Genomic DNA, 19470 nt, shown 5'->3' on the forward strand with positions numbered 1-19470 from the left:
TTTTAAAACATAAAAAGCCAGAATCCCTCAATTTATACCACCAATCTGACTGTCTTACATATTCATTTATCCCTGTAGTTTCATTCTTTGCTCATTTAATACATGAGCAAGACTGACATACAACACATAAAATGAGAACATCTCAATATCATGTTTTTTTTTGTTTTTTGTTTTTTGTTTTTTTTGGAGACAAAGTCTCACTCAGTCACTCAGTCAGGCTGGAGTGCAGTGGCATGATTTCAGCTCACTGCTACCTCCATCTCCTGTGCTCAAGCGATCCTCCTGCCTCAACCTCCTGAGTAGCTGCTAATTATAGGCACGCACCACCACGCCCGGCTCATTTTTGTATTTTCAGTAGAAACAGGGTTTCACCATGTTGGCCAGGCTGGTCTCGAACTCCTGAGCTCAAGTGATCTGCCCACCTCAACCTCCCAAAGTGCTGGCATTCTAGGAGTGAGCCACCGTGCCCAGCCTCAATATCATGTTTTCTGAGTGACAAAAGAAACAGAACAAATGAAAATGAACACTTTAAAAAAAGACTCACGTTAATGCGCATGATTCAAGCATGAGTCCGTACACTGTACCAAGTTCTTTTGCTCTGCCCTAGCATGATAGAAGTATCTTCCAGTTACTGAAATGTCTTTAACTAAGTTCTCTTGCTCTTTGAAACCTCACCATGAACTTATTAAGGGAGAAAAAAATTGCTCAAATATTTTAGGGGTGTTCACAAAGCATCGTTCATATCCCAACATTAGTATCCCACAAAGAGTCTGCATCAAGCTAAACATTAAAAGAAAGAAAAATTGTGCTTAACTTTAACAACAAAGTACCTACCCTTTTCTGGTGTTTTAAATGTGTAGTTGATTGAAGATTCTTCCGTTGGAAAGGAAGCAGAGAGATTTTTGACTTTGCTATCTGAAGACTGTTCGATATCAGAGTTCTTTGACAGTTCACATTTTTTAGGTTCCACTTTGCTTTCAGATCCACTCTGGGCTACTGAACTAGTTTCACTATTGTTACTTTTCAAAGGTGCATTAAAACTAAATCCAAACAAAGACCCAGTGGCAGAACTGTTGCCAAATGCAAATGGTTTTGATTTTTCACTACTAAAAATTCTTTTAACAGACTCTGAACCAAATACAAACTTTGGAGGAGAAACCACTGCTTTTGTTGTTGTTTCAGATGTGCTAGACACTTCAACTTCTGAAGCTGCATCTGCTACATCATCACCCTGAATAACATCTGTCCTCTCTCTTGTGGTTTCTTCTAATACAGCTACAGCAATTTTGCCACATGGTGACTCTCTGGGAGTGCTTGACCGAGAAACATGAGGTGTTATCAAAGAATCTTTTTCCTGGGCTGTTTTTGCTTCATCAAAAATTTTCTTAAACGAGTCTGCAACATCCTGTAGTTTAAAACGAACAGCTAAATGCTCTACTTTTCTTTCTCCATCTGCAAAATCACATGCAGTCCACACCCATACTCTTTCTGTCCCTTTCATATTTTGCAAACTCATGTCTGGAGTTATTCTGTGATTGGCACAAAGTTTTAATACTTGGTCCCTTCTCATCAGTATACGAACGTGCTTATTATCATAATTCTGTAAAATCTTTATATCACCAATGCCCCTTTCTTTCCATTGACCAACATCTTTATCATATCTGTAGAATTCTGCCCTGTGACTAAAAACAACTTGTTCATTTTCCTCACCACTGGATACTTCAACTAGATCAGGTAAAGGAACAACAGGTTCAAAGTACTGTCCATCTCTCTCTTCTTCTTGAGTAACATCAGATTCTTCATCAGTGCCAACTGAAGTCCCACTCTGATTCAACTTGGCAGGAGACTTAGATAGACTCAAAGCAGATTTAAAACTGAAGTTAGATCCTGTTGTTGACTCATCAAAGTGGAAAAGATTTTTTCTCACAGGGCTACTTGCCAATGGAGAAGCATGTACTGAGCTACTACTGACACTATCATCCAAAGCATCTTCCCTTAAATCATAGTTATCCCATTCTAATGTGGGCCCAGTGTTTTCAGCATTGGGTTTTATTGTTGTGTCTGAGGCACCGGCCGCACCTGTACCTGAACCCTTATTTTCTTCCTCAGCGACTTTTGTTTGATCATTTGTCAAAAATGTTTTGAAATCTTTCAGTCCACTCTTCATTTCTTCAGCTCTCTGTATTAACTTGGCAGCTCTGCCAGTATCTACAAGTTTATGGGGAGTTTGAAGTGGTATGTCTAACAGAAGCCGCTGGCATTCCTCAAATTTCTGCTTGAATTCTTCAGCCAGCTCTGGTGTTTTAAATTTTGCTGCCAATCGCTCTAGTTTGGCATCACCATCAGAGAAATCACTGGCTGACCACATCCATGCTCTATCTGATCCAGAGAGGGGCTTCAGGTTCATTGTAGTCGTTATCCAATGATTAGCACACACTTTTAGTACTTGTTCTCTTTGCATCAGCATTCTTACTTTGCCATTGACCTCGTTTTTGAGAATTTTTAAGTTCCCCAAGCCCCTTTCTTTCCACTGACTTACCTCAGCATCAAATCTAAATAGTTTTACCCCCTGTGAATACAGAACTTTTTCACCTTCTTCTCCTGTTACAAGTTCTACTTTTTCAGGCATTTGAACTACTGGTTCAAAATGGATGTCATCGCTGTCCTCAGTCTTATAGGCATCATCATCTTTCTCAAAGTCACCGGAAGTGTTTGCTTTATTGGCCATTTTACCGTATTGTGATGAGAATAATTTTTCTCCAGCACCTGAAAATCCCTTGAAATTGAGGTCTTTTTTGCCAAACTGAAATCCTTCTCCTGAAGTTGATTTTGCAACATCTGCAAATGTAAAAGTGCTACTTGTTTGGCCAAAAATCACACCACGGCCCTTCTTCCGGCCACTAATATCCTGAGCCTGTAAGCCAGTATCATTTTCAAGAGGCTTTTCACTTTTCTTTTCTTGATTTCCTGGTTCCGAAATGCCAAATTTAAATCCATCAGCAGACACAGGGATGGAAAATCCTTCTTTGGTTGACTTAAATTCTGTATTAGAAGAACCCTGAAACATAAATGAAGGTGAATTTTCTTGATCCACATGCCCAAAATAGTCATGAAATACATACCTTCTTCATTCCTAAACAATTTATCAAATGATGTTAACAATAATGATGATGATGATGATGATAACATTTATTGAGCATTTATTAATGTGCCAGCTGGGCACTGTTCTAAGCACTTTACATTATTATCTCATTTTAATATCCTCAAAAACCCTATGAATTAAGGTATTATTATTATCCTCATTTTACATATGAGGCAACTGATGCATTGAGAGGTTAAGAAACTTGCCTGTGGTCAAAATAAGCAGAAGAGCAAGGGTCTAAATGCACCCCAACACTCTGTCCTCAAAGCTGTCACATTCAACTACCACTGTAATATTGAGTCTTCAATCAATTGTTATATATATAGCTGTATCAGGCCTGAAAGTACTTACCACATAGTGGGTCAGCAAGGGCATTACAGTTCTATTTCTGTTAAAACAGAACGATGAAGGATCCACCACCACCACTCCCATTTTTAAAATATTCTAAATATTCACACTTATTAACACAAAAATAAGGTGACTAAGAAGGATAATTTCTGTATTTGGAGATAAATTTAAAATATCTACATTTTAAGGGACATAAAAGTTTTAATAGTGAACTGCTCTCTTGAATTTATTTGAAGGAACCCTAAACAATTTAAAAAGGAAATAATTATAAATGTATAAATTATTCCTTTGTTACCTTTGTGGGAGTAACATTAGCTGCTGGTCTGAGAAGATACTGGGAATTATATGCTGGTGACTGACTATAATATACTGAAGGGCCAGTAGTTGCAACTAAAAAAAAAAAAGAAAAGAAAGAAAACACTGTTAAAGTCTATACTACAGTTAAGACTATCTAGGCAAGAGCTACAAATACAAAAGCAATAGAAATTAAAGAAAGATTTAACTACATAAATTTTAAATTTCTGTACATCAAAATACACCAATCAAGATTATCAAATGACAAACTAGAAAAAAACTGCTAAATATGACATGAAGAATAAGAGAATAGCATCGCTGTGATCAACAAGAACTACCTCACAAGCATTAAAAAAGGAATAAAGAAGAAAGTAACTGTTGCCTTTTCTAAGAAAGATCAGTATGATGTGGAATTATGGACATTCAGTCACAGAAAGGACGTAAGGAACCAAGATGCCCTCTGATGGTCAATGCATTTGAAGTGGGCCTAGAAAATCTGCAGAAAGACTAGGTTGTATTTTGTAAACTAAAGCTATTACTGAGAATGTTCAGCTCAAAAATCACCTGACAAATTCATGGAAAGGATGTCATAAATAACATAAAATGTGTTCCCTGGCTTAAAATAAAAAGCACATCAACACTCATACAGATGTACAAACTGTCTGCTCCCTCTGTTTGGTCTGTTTTACCAGGAAACAAAACGACTAGAAGGCACCCCTGTTAATGACAAAACTACCAATAGTCATTTGCTTGAACTGTTTTATGATAGTTTTACCAGAAAACAACCAAAAGATCTTTCATGCCTGTACATGGAAGAAGAAACAGAAACTGTGCCAAGAGGTTCCAAACAATTGCCTCTGGAAAGCACTGAAAAATCAAGACCTAGAAAAGGCTAGCCAGAAGCCCAAGTTTGATTTTGGAAACCTTACAGAGGTGAGGATAGCTATTTTGAAATTACTATGGGGAGGAAGCAGGCACAGAACACAGAACAACCTGACAGAAATGGCCCAAGAATCTTAAAGTCTTGCAAGATGTCTGTCTGCATGAAAGCAAAAAGAAAAAATAAAATATTAAATAAAAAAAAAATCTTAGTCTGAAGTTTAAGTAGGGACTTTAATTGACTACTGACTCTAAACTGTGCGGCTCTAATAAATCTACTAAAAGTAATCTAACTTTTAAAAGCACCATATGAATAGACAATTTAGGAAAGAAATGTTAATAGGCCTCAAGGAACATGTTTTTGAAGTGAGCCTTGAAAATCTGCAAAATGACGAGGTTGCATTGTGCAAATTGAAGCTATTATGAGAATGTTCAGGTCAAAAAAATTACCTGACAAATTCATGCACAGGATCTCTCAAGGAACACAAATGTGTTCGTTGGCTTTAAAAAAATCACATTAACATTCATGTTGATATACAAAAACTCTTCTCCATCTGTTTTGTGTGAGTTTTACCAAGAAACCAAACAACTGGAAGGTACCCACGTTGAAGATGGCAAAACTACCAACTGCCATTTGCATGAATTGTTGAGCATGACTAGTATTAAAAAAACTTAAAAATTGATATCACTTTTGTTCCTACAAATTGGCAAAGGATTTTATAAACTAGTAAGTCAGCATTAGCAAAAGTGCGAAAATGGCACTATCAGATACTAGTGGTAAGAGCATAAACTGAATATTTTGAATACCCTACAAAACTAGGACAGTGTCCTAGAATTTGTAATGGCATAAACCAGAAACAACATAAATAAAGGAACAGAATTTACAGTACTTCCATGTGATGGGATACCATGAACTCATTAATATTCAAAAAACATTTAAGTTTAAAAATGCTCAGAACTAAAGTAACATTTAAAAAACAGGCTAGCTCATCTACACACAACATAGTAACATGGTAACAATCTCATAAAAAATACTATATGTATAGAGAAAGAACCAGAAGGAAATGCTCTCAAATATAAGAAATGTTAATAAGGTGGTTAGTTTTTAGTTTTCTTCACCCTGTTCAGTACTTCTGAGTATCTCCTATGAGCTCATTAATCTTTAATTTTAATCATCTTATTTTTAAAAAACAAGGACCATCTTGATATATGTTTACTTTTATTAAGGAAAAAGAATCTATGAACACAGGAACAGAAATCAGGAGATCTTGGCTCTCGCCCTTTCAGTGCCACAAAGCTGTTTTGTGAACCTGTAAATAATCCATTTGGAGTCTCCATGTTTCTCAATTGTAAAATGACGATGTGCTGCTTCTACATATTTCACAGGGTCATTGCAAGAATAAAATGAGACAATGAGAATGTTGGATTTACATGCTTGTATAAGAACAGAAGACCTTTTATGCCTGTACACAGAAGAAATGGAAATCATGACCCAAAAGGCACCAAATAACTGACTGCACACATCACTAAAAAAGCCCCAGGAAAGGCTAGCCGGTTTGTTTATCCTCTTACAAGGACCTATATGATGTGTAAGGTTTTAAGAAAACAAGGTTTGAACGTTAGACATTTCATATACTTATCTATGACTTACGACATTTAATAAGCTTGACTTCACAAAGATTTTCTGTTATTTTGCTTGTGTTGAGAAGATACTATCACAAAAGGCTAGTGGGGTTGCCTTAACTATATGAACCATCACACAAATGTGCTCATCTAAACCAGATTTTATTCTAAATCTTTCCTGGGCTAAAAAGAGAGAGAGAGAAAAAAAAGGGCACTACTACTACCATTTCAGAAGTCTGTCGTACATAAAAGGAACAATTTTGTTATTTCTGGCTGCCTGGGAGCAATGTATTATACTGGCAAGTGCTTTGGAGTTACACCACTGGAGTGTGAATCTCGGCTCTATCAATAACTAGCTGTATAATAATGAGTAAGTTACCTAACCTTTCTTTATCCATTTCCTTATTTATAAAAAAGGGATTAATAATGGTACCGGCCATTCTAAGTTACTGTAATTAAATAAAATTACATTCACAAAGCACTTTTGCACATAGCCAACCCACAGTAAACACTATTAGTAACCTTAGTTCATTAACTGTTTACTGTATACTCTAATAAATGTCTGATACACACCCACACCCACCTGCACATACACAAATGCTCATAGTAATTATGTAAGGCAAGTATTATCTCCACATTTCAGACAGGTTAACTTACACAGCTATTATAGTAAGTGATAGAGCAGAACTTAAAAACCCAGTATGATTCAGGTCCAAACTCCTTTTCTTTCTTTATATAACCATAATATTTCAAATTAAGTAAGATTTCCTATATAACGTCCTGCCTCTCATCATTATCATCAAAATAATTCCCCAGAGGTGTAGGTTCTTAATTAAGCATTTCTTAGTGCATAACTCTATTCAATAACATTTTTCAATTTAAGGAATAATCTAATCTCAGCTCATCTGAGGTGTGGATTAAGTGTTCTTTAAGCCTTTATATACACGTGATCACATACGGCTCGTTTTTTCTGCTTGGGATTATAAAAATCTCCGTAACACCAAATACAGCTTTTGAAGTCACATATAAACAGATGTTGACATGTATATTAACAAACATATATAAACAAGGTGATTTCACACGTTATCTACTTAAAAGAGGGAAGTAAAGTAGTTTTACTAAAATATGCGATTATCCACTTGCCAGCTCACCTGTTAGTGGAGCCCCATGAAATGTCTGTGACCCCTGATATCCATCAGGCACCGAGTCTGGTCCATAATTCTCTGTGGGCCAACGATGATGGGATGCTGACTTACTGCTATTTAGTTTCAACTCCTGCATTTCTTCCTATTGGAAGAAAAAAAAATCAAATAATTTTAATCATTTAATTATATCATGCCAGAAACAGTGCTGGGGAAACTTACTCTTTTAAATTTAAATAACTGATTTTTTCTTTTTTTCTTTTTTGAGATGGTGTCTCGATCTGTCGTCCAGGCTGGAGTGCAATGGCACAATCTTGGCTCACCGCAACCTCCACCTCCTGGGCTCAAGCAATTCTCCCACCTCAGCCTCCCAACTAGCTGGGATTACAGGTGTCAGCCAGCACGCCCGGCTAATTTTTTGTATAATAGTAGAGATGCGGTTTCACCATGTTTGCCAGGCTAGTCTTGAACTCCTGACCTCAAGTGATCCACCACCTCAGCCTCCCAAAGTGCTGGGATTATAGGTGTGACCCACCACGCCCGGACCTGATTATATCTTTTGAAAGTTTCTATTTGCCAATGAGTTCTAGGTACCTGGTGCTGATTTTAAAATATGATTCTTAATTTGTTAAAAATTTATCTGCTCCCATTTTCGTTAATACAAAACTTAATTCATTAACTCTCTCACCTAAACAAATAACCTCCTAAATGATCACACCTTCATTTCCATTCTACACTTGCCTACATTAACCTGACGTTCACCTCCAGCCAAGACAATTCCCTGCTCAAAAAAACAAGTACCTACAAACTAAACTTCTTTCCCCAACTTTCACAGTCCTCTAACATTACACTGACCATCCTTTCAGTGTGTTCTTTCTACACTGCAATCTGGACTACCTGACATTCCAAATCACCTCCCCAAATTAGCTTTTCACTTAACCCTGTGTTCAAACAAAATACAACTAATTCTCAAGGTGATGTTCAAATGCTCCACCAGGAAAGGGAAAAAAGTAGTAGCTGCAGAGAATTTATTATGTATATAATAATATGTCCAATGCACTTAAACTCTTAATTTTTATACTATCTACACTGTTAGGTAAACAATATTAGCTCCTATCTTAAAATGAGAGAAAGGGATGCAGGGAATAACAGCTGGAATTTGAACCACATCTGACTCCAAAAATGTTTTCTTAACACAACTCTGCTGCCTTGACAAGATGGCAGATAGATACAATGCCGTCTAGTGTAGCTATGTGGCTACCTGATCTCTGCTGAAGAAAACTAAATGACAGCACCATACCCAACACCCTAGAACCTACAAAATGTCCCCTTACAAAACAGACACTTAACAGGAAATTCTTTTTCCAAAGAAATTGTAGTGGTATCAGAAAACAGGTAAATTTTGAAAAGTTTCAAACTTCTCTGTATCAGCCCAGGAATCCGACCAGTTCTAACAAGTGAGGTCAGGGACAGATCTAGCATGTCTGCTTTCTTTTTCTACAAGTGTTTCAAATAAAAATTTCCCAGAAAGACCTAACCATGAGGTCCAAAACTATCTCAATTTTCAAGCTAAATAAAATTTCCCCCACTCATCCATCTACAGTGCCTAGTCCAGATGCTACACATACACATCCAAGAAATAAGAAACTAGTGGAATCACCTAGAAAACTTTATGGTCACTGCTGGTATCTGCACCAGAGCTTTGAATTTGCAATCACTGCTGTAACTGTAATTTTTAACATTCAGTGTGATGAGAACTGGCTTCGATAATTCTCTCATTTTAAAGATAAGAAGCCAAACGGTCACAAAGGAAGTGACTGGCCCAAGATCATTAATTAATGGCAGAGTCAGTACTAGTACCAAGCTTTTCAAGCTCATGGACCAGTGCTCCACTATACTTCCACAGAATACAATGTTGGGAGCCTGAAACCTGTATGTTAAGTCAAAATTGTATGTAATTGTCATAGGCCATGACTACACAGAATTAACATTCAAGATTTTTGTGCAAATTCAAAAATGTCTTCCCCACCAAATAGTATTCTCTTAATTTGCAAATACTGCTGATCACACTGTAATAATCGCCACACATCAGCATATCTTTGATGTAACTTTAGCAGTATAATTTAGTTCTTGCCTGATAAACATGAAAGAACCTACTTTTATTTCCAATTCCAAAAAAGTCAAGCTCCTTTGAACCCTATTGTTAAAATACGATATATATACATAACTATTTCCTTACATAATTAAGTCAAATTCATATGGAAGTATTAAAATATAGTAAGACTTTTTGAAGCTCAGACCACTTTTCAATTCCTAGCTATACATTTGAAACACATGTAATCCACAGCTAATCTGGGAATGAACTCATAGACCAGAGTATGATTAGTACATTGTAGCAGTTCAATCACTCGGGAACCTTCTCTGTGTCAGGAACTCTTATATTTTAAATAAAACAGTTTCTACCTTTGAAGGTCTCAAATTTTGTGAAAGATGAGGAGAGAGACACATAAAGTACTTTCAAAAATATAGTAAAGGGCTGGGTGCGGTGGTTTACACCTGTAATCCCAGCACTTTGGGAGGCCAAGGCGGGCAGATCGCCTGAGGTCAGAAGTTCAAAACCAGCTTGGCCAACATGGTGAAACTCTGTGTCTACTAAAAATACAAAAATTAGCTGGGCCTGGTGGCGGGTGCCTGTAATCCCAGCTACTCGGGAGGCTGAGGCAGGAGAGTCGCTTGAACCTGGGAGGTGGAGGTTGCAGTGAGCCAAGATTGCACCACTGCACTCCAGCCTGGGCAACAGAGCGAGCCTCTGTCTCAAAAATAAAATAAAATAAAATATGGAAAAGGGTCAAGACCAAGGTATGTAGGCTGGGCACAGTGGCTCACACCTGCAATCCCAGCACTTTGGGAGGCTGAAGCAGGAGGATTGTTTGAGCCAGGAGTTCAAGGCCACCCTGGGCAACATGGAAAAATCCCATCTCTACAAAAAATACAATTAGCTGGGCCTAGTGGCGTGTGACTGTCTGTAGTCCTGGCTTCGTGGCAGGCTAAGCCAAGAGGCTCTCTTGAGCTAGGAGGTCGAAGCCGCAGTAAGCTGTGATCATACCACTGTACTCCAGCCTGCACAACAAGACCCTGCCTTAAAAAAAAAAAAAAAAAAAAAAGACCAAAATGTCCCCTTGCCATACTATTTGGATGGCAAGGGGACATTCTGACCAGCTTCAGAAAAAAAGTGAGAGAGTGGCCAGGGAAGGAATCTTGGAATAAAAAGTACAGCTAGAGAAATTAAGTGACTTACCTTAATGGCCTTTACTTCTTGGCGAATCATTTTCAGTAAAGAATTCTGATCTTCTGCCCATCGAGGTGGTGTTTTGGGAGAATACTAAAAAAAAAATAAAAATAACAAAAGAGCATTTAAAACACTTAGAAACAATTTCACAATGAAATGATTCCATTCTTTCCTGTTTACCTTGTAACTTTTACTTGGTGATAGTGAATATTTGGTAGGAGATGGTGTAGAATGTTTTATTTCTGAATCCGCATTTCGCAAAGAACCATTTTTATAGAGAGGACCTCCTTCACTATAGTTTTCGAGTTCCTGCATGACTGACTTAAGCATCTCTTTTACAGACTCCAGGGGCACAGGCAACTAAAAATAAAAGACATTAATTAAGGGCTTTCATTTGCAAAAAATTCCAAAAGTAAAAACTCTAAAATGATATATTTTATCTTATTTACATTTTTGTCACTTTAATAAGCACTTTACACTTTAAATAATAATACACGTGAAAGTGTTTTTTAATTATCTTTTTTCTTTGTTTTTCTGCTGTTTTGTATTATTTTTATTTTTTTGTCTTTATTCTATTTTTTCTTTCATGAACACAGAAAAGTGTTGTACAATCTAACATCTTCTGATTCTAAAGTCCATGCTCTTTCTATTACTTCTGTTAACCATGATAATTGTAGAGGAATGTTAACTTGGAAAGCTTTTCCAAGTGAACAAAATAAGTTACTGATGTTTTCTAACTGATTTTCAATGGTGACAGAAATACAGATGCTACAATACACCAGACAACATAAATCCTAATAAAAGAGTAGTAACACAAATTAACCAACAAAACACTCAGAAGACTGAACATAATTTAACATCATCATGACAATCTCAAACAGCTGACAGCAAGAAAACAAGGGCGTTCATAATGGCTGATGACGATGAGAAGAAATGCTCTTAAGTTGTCAGCAACAACTTTCAATTTCAGCAAAGTTCATTAAGAATTAGTCCTGAGGTTATAATATTTGTTTTGATTACACTGCTAAGATAACAAAATCAATGTCTTATCTTAGAAATCTTTTCTAATTCCCCAAGAAGTACTTTTTAAGAGCATATACCTAGATTCCCAAGTTTAAAAAGACACACCAAACCTAAGACAAAGCAAGCAAATCTAAGCATTTAGACACACACATCCCTTCTGTGCATTAATAACAACATATTACTGAGTATTTTTTGAAATTACCAAAATATAAGACCAACGCAAAAACACTGACCAGTGGGTTATCAGTAAGAACGTACATACAACAACCTGCTACTTACTTTCTTGACCACTGAAAGATTTGAATCACTGTCATCTAAAATCTTTATTAGGTAGCCCCTGGTCTTTCTCAGATAATTTTTGCATTCTTCTTGTTCTTCAGGAGAAAGGGCATCATTTGCAATGTCTTCTGCCTTCCTGTGAAAAATCTATACAAATAGTGCTTTTATGAAATCATTAGCTTTTTAAAACAAAAAACTTTCAGCTTGGCCACGCATGGTGGCTCATGCCTGTAATCCCAGCTACTCGGGAGCTGAGGCACAAGAATCGCTTGAGCCTGGGAAGCAGAGGTTGCAGTGAGCCAAGATTGTGCCACTGCACTCTAGCCTGGCCAGCAGAGAAACCCCATCTTTTAAAAGAAATAATAAATAAATAAATAAAACTTTTAGCTCAAGTACTGCATCTACTTACCAGTGCAAGATTCCAATAAGAAACAACACTTTTTATAGATTCAAAAGCAGTCATAGCATCTTCTATATTTCCATTTACTGCATCCAATATAGCAAAAGTTACGTGTGCGTCTTCTTCATATTCAACAATTTCTGATGCCTAAACACACAGAATAGTTTTTAGTCAAATTGTTTATACTCAGAATATAAAACCCAAATGATTTTCCAAAGATTTTATATGATCTTAAGAGACAAACATCTCATTATTCTTCTCTGTCATATCTTATCTGTGAGAGCTAGTGAATTTAGAAAACAAGATTACCGTTAAATAACAAGGCAATTAATTTAAGCAGTGTATAGCTCCATGTCTTTGTTTATAAACTGGAAATTCCCATCTCCAATAAATTCATAAAGGAACTCTGTTACCTGAATGTCTACACTATGAAAATGTTTAAACAGAGGATCAATAGGTTCAGGAATACTGTTCTTCTTTTTTATTATCTTCAACAATGGCAAAACTTTCTTCCAATAATGAACACTTCTCCCTATGTATTCTCGTTGATCATAAAAAGAATTAAGACCGCTGCCCTAAAAAAGAAAGTTAAAAGCACACAACTTTAAGGAACACGCATGATTAGATCTAAAGTTCATTTACAAGTTGTAAGAACTGGCTAAAATTTCAAGTCAAAACCAAATGGTACCTCAATAGTCATTTGTTCAACTTCCAAATACTGTAATAACTAAACCACCTTAATACCAGTGAACTCACTGCAACCTCTGCCGTGCAGGTTCAAGCAATTCTCCTGCCTCAGCTTCCCAAGTAGCTGGGATTACAGGCACCTGCCACCATGTCTGGCTAATTTTGTAGTTTTAGTAGAGTTTTTTTTGTATTTTTAGTAGAGACGGGGTTTCACCGTGTTAGCCAGGAATGATCTCGATCTCCTGACCTTGTGATCTGCCCGCCTCGGCCTCCTAACGTGCTGGGATTACAGGTGTGAGCCACCGCACCCGGCCTCTACACTCAACTTTTAAATGCTTCTAATGATACCACCCTAACGTAGCAATCCCAACTGCTTTTTAACAGTTGCCATTTTTAGATAGCTGAAACCTGCCTCTTCTGTAGTGTCAGTTTGTTCAAAAGGCTGACCATCTACACCTAATGGTGACACAAAACACACCTTAAATATTTAGAAAGATCTATAATGGTCTTACCTACAAAGCCTTGTGCTAATTTTTTTTTAATTTTCAGGCTGAATAATTATCAGAACTTAATTATTAAGGAATAACAGTAACAGCTCAGCTAATATGTAACATTCACTGTGTGCCAGGCATTGCTCCTCTAAGTGCTTATATTTAACTACATTAACTATTTTGCAGCAATAAAAAACACATCTGTCATAATATGACAAAGCTGCTGTTTTCAGAACAAAAAAACTTTCAATAAAAAGTTCATGATTTTAAAAAATTAAGGTAATGTTCTTTTAAAATGCTTATACTTTAAAACTCACCATTTTCTGAAGGCATTTTGCCCAATGTACAAGCAGAGCAGGTTGAAGGCCATGTTTTTCCTGGGCTCTTAGAGTGTTTATTTCATGCTGAACTAGAAGTCTCAATTTTGCTGAGTTTCCAGGTCTAAAAAATAGTTCAATTTACTAAAATTGCTTTCTAAATACACAGTTCAGCGCTTACATACATATATGTTAATGGGTCACATGACAAATTAAATCTTCACACGAGGATTAAATCCCCGGTAAAACCTACGCACTAAGTGAAAGCAATATTTTTGTTTTACTACTTACACTGCTTTTCTGTGAATCAGAGTACAAACCGCATCCCACCAAGATTTTTGTCTTTCTGTACAAAGCTGTTTACACACAGGAAGGGGCAGGCATAACGGCTGATAGGAGCTGTGGTGAGAATTACATTTCTCCTTTAATTGTAAGTGGCTGGTATATACTACTCCAAGGAGAAATACCTGTTTCATTTAAGGAAAAGTTAAGTTAGAAAAAAAAATTAAACAAAATTCAGAATATTTAATTTGTTAAAATCTTTGCTTACTTCAAGATCTAAAATACATATTGATTCAGGTGCATTTGTTTCAAGCCTTGAGGTTTCCTGGGGCAAATGATGGAAAAGCTGTTTTAGCCATTTTCGGATTCCAGGTAAAGCAGGCAATGAATTCCACTGTAAGCCAAGCCAAGTAAGGTGCTGAAGACTACCATTATGTGCTCGAATAGCACCTGAAATAAAATAAAAAAATTGGCTTAAGGGTTTGAAATTTTTCCTTGTGCCATTAGTTTTGCCAACATAAACAATTCACATTATATATATCTTAATTATATAACTGCTTTTCTATATCAAAGCTGGAGGGAATTCTATGTTAGGCAAAATCTCATGTTCTTATTAAATGCATTCTCACTTGATTATTTCTAGAAATTTTAATAAAAATAGTAGTGATGAAGAATGTTTAAGTCCATCTTAAAAAATGACACTGACTAGAACTCAATAAACCAAAATCAACTGACAAAAGCCAAATAAAGAACACCTAACCTAATAAGAAACCCCAAAACAATGGGTTTTCCTTTAAGTCATTAAAGCAATGGAACACCACTATATAATCCATCAGTACAGTAAAGAAATCTGTTTTTCTACAAGAAAGTCAATATTGAAAAGGTTATGCGCAGTCAGGAGTTCGAGACCAGCCTGGCCAGCATGGTGAAACTCCGCCTCTACTAAAAATACAAAAAATTAGCCGAGCACGGTGTCACGTGCCTATAGTCCCAGCTACATGGGAGGCTGAGGCAAGACAATTGCTTGAACCTGGCAGGCGGAAGTTGCAGTGAGCCAAGATTGCGCCACTGCGCTCCAGCCTGGGTGACAGAGCGAGACTCTGTCTCAAAAAAAAGAAAAGAAAAGAAAAGAAAAGGTTATGCGCTTCTGGAAGCATGAAGAGGTATAATCTTTCTGTCATTTTGGCAATTTGCAAGACTTAAAGATGTTCATGTCCTTTGTCTCAGTAATTCTGTTTATAGGTATCTCTATGGAAATAACTTGCCATGAAGACACTTTTTGTTGAAGTTTTTATCAGAGTATGATTATTAACAGTGGAAAAGTTGAGAAAACTTGGATGCCCAATAACAGAAAGTAGCAAGCAAATTATGACTACTTCATAAAAAAGATTATATTGCCAATAAAAGTGATATTTATAGTTTTAATACAGAGACTATGGGAGAGAATTCATGAAGGAAGCAAGATAAATCATACATAACCATTTAGATGAAAAATATGGCCAGATGCAGTGGCTCATGCCTATAATTCCAACACTTTTTGTTTCTGAGACGAAGTCTCGCTCTGTCGCCCAGGCTGTAGTGCAGCAGTGTGATCTTGGCTCACTGCAACCTCCACCTCCCGGTTGAAGCGATTCTCCTGCCTCAGCCTCCTGAGTAGGGACTACAGGCACATGCCACCACCCCCGGATAATTTTTGTATTTTTAGTAGAGACGGGGTTTCACCATGTTGGCCAGGATGGTCTTGAACTCCTGATCTCAGGTGATCTGCCCGCCTCGGCCTCCCAAAGTGCTGGGATTACAGATATGAGCCACTGTGTCGGGCTTAATCCCAACACTTTGGGGGGCTTAGGCAGGAGGATCACTTGAGCCTAGGAGTTGGAGACTAGCCTGGGCAACAAAGGGAGACCCTGTCTCTACCAATTAAAAAAAAAAAATTATCTGGGCCGAGTGGCATGTGCCTATGGTACCAGCTACTCAGGAGGCTGAGGCAAGAGAATCCCTTGAGCCCAGAAGTTCAAGGCAGCAGTGACCTACGATCACGCCACTACACTCCAGCCCAGGTGACACAGCGAGACCCTGTCTCAAAATACAACAAGGCTGGTCACGGTGGCTCACACCTGTAATCCCAGCACTTTGGGAGGCCAAGGCAGGTGGATCACCTGAGGTCAGGAGTTTGAGACCAGCCTGACCAACATGATGAAACCCTGTCTCTACTAAAACTACAAAAAATTAGCCGGGCGTGGTGGTGGGCATTTGTAATCCCGCTACTTGGGAGACTGAGGCAGTAGAATTACTTGAACCCGGGAGGCAGAGGTTACAGTGAGCCGAGATCGCACCACTGCACTCCAGCATGGGCGACAAGAGCAAAACTTGGTCTCAAAAACAACAACAACAACAAAAAATACATGCCACCCCCACAGCACCACATTCAAACTCCCCCCAGCCCAACCCACACACAAAAGGAATACAGGAAAATATTAAGTCGTTATTTCTGGGTAATAAGATTATGGGCAATTTATAAGAATTAAGACGGAGACCATTTCCTCTGAAACATATAACTTACCAACATCGTATCTAGCCAAATCTTCAAGCTCTGGTTCTTGTACATCAATGTTTCCAATATCATCGCTACCAAGAAAAGATGTATCCTTAGGTGACTGACTAGAAAACAGAGCATCATATAATGCAGACTGCCCGCTTTTGTTGGCAAAAGTTTCAACAACCACTTTTAAAAAATCTTGCTTGCCACGACTTAAGTTTAGCAACATGTGCCCTGAAAAAAAAATTTAAGTTATTTCCATCACTTTAAAAATACAGATTGTATTTGCTCACGTTGTCTCATTTGTATACCCAAAGGGGAAATAATATGATTATTGCAGACCTAACCCTCCAACCCAAAAAATACAGCTGGACAACAAAACGGGTGCTTATGTAGCAAATGAAAAGAGTACAGGTTTAATATTCTCAGTATCTACATAAGACAGCAGAAGGGGGAAAAAAGACAGGAATGTGTATGAAAAATGCCAAATGTATTTGCATTTTAGATGAAAAGGTCTGGATTTAAGTGGCCATAGGAGAACAGGGACAAGCTCTTATTCTCTGATCTGATACACTGATTTCTAAACCTGGCTCATCAGAATCCTCCTTTAAACAGCTTTTAAGAATTATTTCCAGCTGGGCATGGTGGCTCATGCTTGTAATCCCAGCACTTTGGGAGGCCAAGCTGGGTGGATAATGAGGTCAGGAGATCAAGACCATCCTGGCTAACACAGTGAAACTCCATCTCTACTAAAAATACACACACAAAAAAAATTAGCCGGCCCTGGTGGCGGGTGCCTGTAGTCCCAGCTACTGGGGAGGCTGAGGGAGGAGAATGGTGTGAACCCGGGAGGCGGAGCTTGCAGTGAGCCGAGATCACGCCACTGCACTCCAGCCCGGGCGACAGAGTAAGACTGTCTCAGGAAAAAAAAAAAAAAAGAATTATTTCCAGGCCTTGTTCCCAGAGATTTTTATGCCATAGGTTTACAGTAAGCAATCAAAAAATCATAGTCCTCGGATAAAGTACTGATACATGCTATAACACAGATGAACCTTGAAAACCTTGCTAAATGAAAGAAGCCAGTCACAAAAGACCACATACTATATGATTCCATTTATGTGAAATGTTCAGAAGAGGCAAACCTACAGAGACAGATTAGCGGTTGCCAAGGCTGAGAGGTTTGGGTAAAATGGGGAGTAACTGCTAATAGGTAAGGAATTCCTCATGGAGTGATGAAAATCTTCTAAAACTGACTGTGGTGACAGTGATAATACTCTATGAACATAGTAAAAGCCACTGAACTGTACACTTTAAATGGGTGAAGCGTATGGTATACGAATTATATTTCAATTGAACTTTTTAAAAAAACCCTCCTTCGAGTTAATTCTGCTGGGCAATTAGGTTTGGTTACCACTACACAGTTGTGTCTCAGCACACTTACAGAGGCACCCTCGGGATGCCCAGATCAAAGATATAAAAAAAAATACAGGCAATTTTTATCTAACTGTGACACCATGCAAAGGCACTTATGAGAGCCCTGCAAGGGTAGAAGGAAAAGAGAAAAGGAAAAAAGTAGAAAGTCACTTTAAGGACTGAAAGCCTAACTCCCACAAAAAAAGTGGGCTATGGAATAAAAGAGCAATGTGAGCTTTGGCCAACAGCCTAACTATACACCAAAGCTTATAATAACTTTGATTAATATTACATCTTGCTCTTTACAAAATTCATCCAATTTTATATCAGAACTGCTCCTTATAGAAAGCATTATGTTTCTTCAGTTCACTGCTTGATTCAATGGCCATCTAACTACCTTAAAGTTTGTATCTTAGCAAAATCACAGGTAATACGCAACAGACCTTTAGGATTCATCCCAAGCCAAAAATGGGGGAAAAAATCCACAAATTCCAAGAGCCTAATATAAGGTAAGTATATATCTTCTATCTTCCTCACTATGCTCTCAGTTCTTTAAGACAGATGCGTATCTTCTTCATCTTTATATCCCCACAGCAGTGTTTTTAGAATCAGCTGGTGTTAAATGGTTGGCAAATCAATAATTATACTTAGTTCAGGAAGTGACTAAATATTCAGGATAGAGGCTCTAGCAGCCAGATGAAGAAAGAGTTAAGAAATCCTCTCCACATAGGAACAAACAATATCAAATATTCATTTTTTTTAAAGAATGTGCTATTTCTTCGCATCTCTTCCATACCTATTGCTCTTAACTGATACGGCGAAAAGAAATAATTTTGACAAATTATCTCCTGGACAGACTGAGATTTTATCATAAGATATGCCTTAACAGAAATTCCTTTTTCTTTTTAAATTAAATTAGTTTAATATTACTATTACCTGATTGGCTCAGTCGGTCACAGGCCATCATTTCCAGCAGATTTTGTCCAGCTTCACCTTTTATTAATTTAATCTTTGGTCTTGGAACCTAATAATTTTAGAATCAAAAATCTTAATTTGATGATACCCATACTTCTAATAGTAACATGGTCTTATCTATTACACTGTACTTTTTTTGATAATGAATGAACAGTTAACCATTAATTAAACTGAATTGGAAAAGACTGCAAAAACTGGGAACCAAGGAATTTGTATAACCTATGAAAGATAGGCCAGGTACAGGCGTGGTGGCTCACACCTGTAATCCCAACACTCTGTCTGGGAGGCCAAGGTGGGCTGATCACTTGAGGTCAGGAGTTCGAGACCAGCCTGGCCAACATGGTGAA

At 37.5% G+C, this 19470-nt stretch overlaps 1 protein-coding gene across 5 annotated transcripts in view, besides 1 other annotated feature; it reads right to left on the bottom strand.

The window, feature by feature from the left end:
* Nucleotides 1-19470, bottom strand: part of RGPD3 (RANBP2 like and GRIP domain containing 3) — a 67530-nt gene that overhangs the window by 18803 nt on the left and 29257 nt on the right. For 4 of the 5 annotated variants that reach the window (XM_017004738.2, NM_001144013.2, XM_017004739.3 and 1 more), the window contains 13 exons: nucleotides 19085-19172; nucleotides 16760-16969; nucleotides 14465-14646; nucleotides 14206-14381; nucleotides 13915-14038; nucleotides 12833-12994; nucleotides 12429-12566; nucleotides 12020-12166; nucleotides 10898-11077; nucleotides 10727-10810; nucleotides 7438-7573; nucleotides 3786-3880; nucleotides 835-3058 (listed from right to left, as the gene is read on the bottom strand). In XM_017004738.2, coding sequence (XP_016860227.1) covers nucleotides 835-3058; nucleotides 3786-3880; nucleotides 7438-7573; nucleotides 10727-10810; nucleotides 10898-11077; nucleotides 12020-12166; nucleotides 12429-12566; nucleotides 12833-12994; nucleotides 13915-14038; nucleotides 14206-14381; nucleotides 14465-14646; nucleotides 16760-16969; nucleotides 19085-19172 — 3946 coding nt within the window. Of the gene's footprint in view, nucleotides 1-834; nucleotides 3059-3785; nucleotides 3881-5140; nucleotides 6035-7437; nucleotides 7574-10726; nucleotides 10811-10897; nucleotides 11078-12019; nucleotides 12167-12428; nucleotides 12567-12832; nucleotides 12995-13914; nucleotides 14039-14205; nucleotides 14382-14464; nucleotides 14647-16759; nucleotides 16970-19084; nucleotides 19173-19470 lie in introns of those variants that run through there. The other variant, XM_017004740.3, reaches the window with a different exon arrangement.
* Nucleotides 17580-17796: a silencer, noted in NCBI's record as "fragment chr2:107056244-107056460 (GRCh37/hg19 assembly coordinates)". NCBI's record gives its function as "represses an EF-1alpha promoter that drives an FKBP-Casp9 reporter gene in an ReSE screen in K562 erythroleukemia cells {active_cell/tissue: K562}" and the evidence as "EXISTENCE:reporter gene assay evidence [ECO:0000049][PMID:32094911]".

This window comes from Homo sapiens, chromosome 2 (assembly GCF_000001405.40).
Source record: "Homo sapiens chromosome 2, GRCh38.p14 Primary Assembly".
NCBI classification, from domain to species: Eukaryota; Metazoa; Chordata; class Mammalia; order Primates; family Hominidae; genus Homo; species Homo sapiens.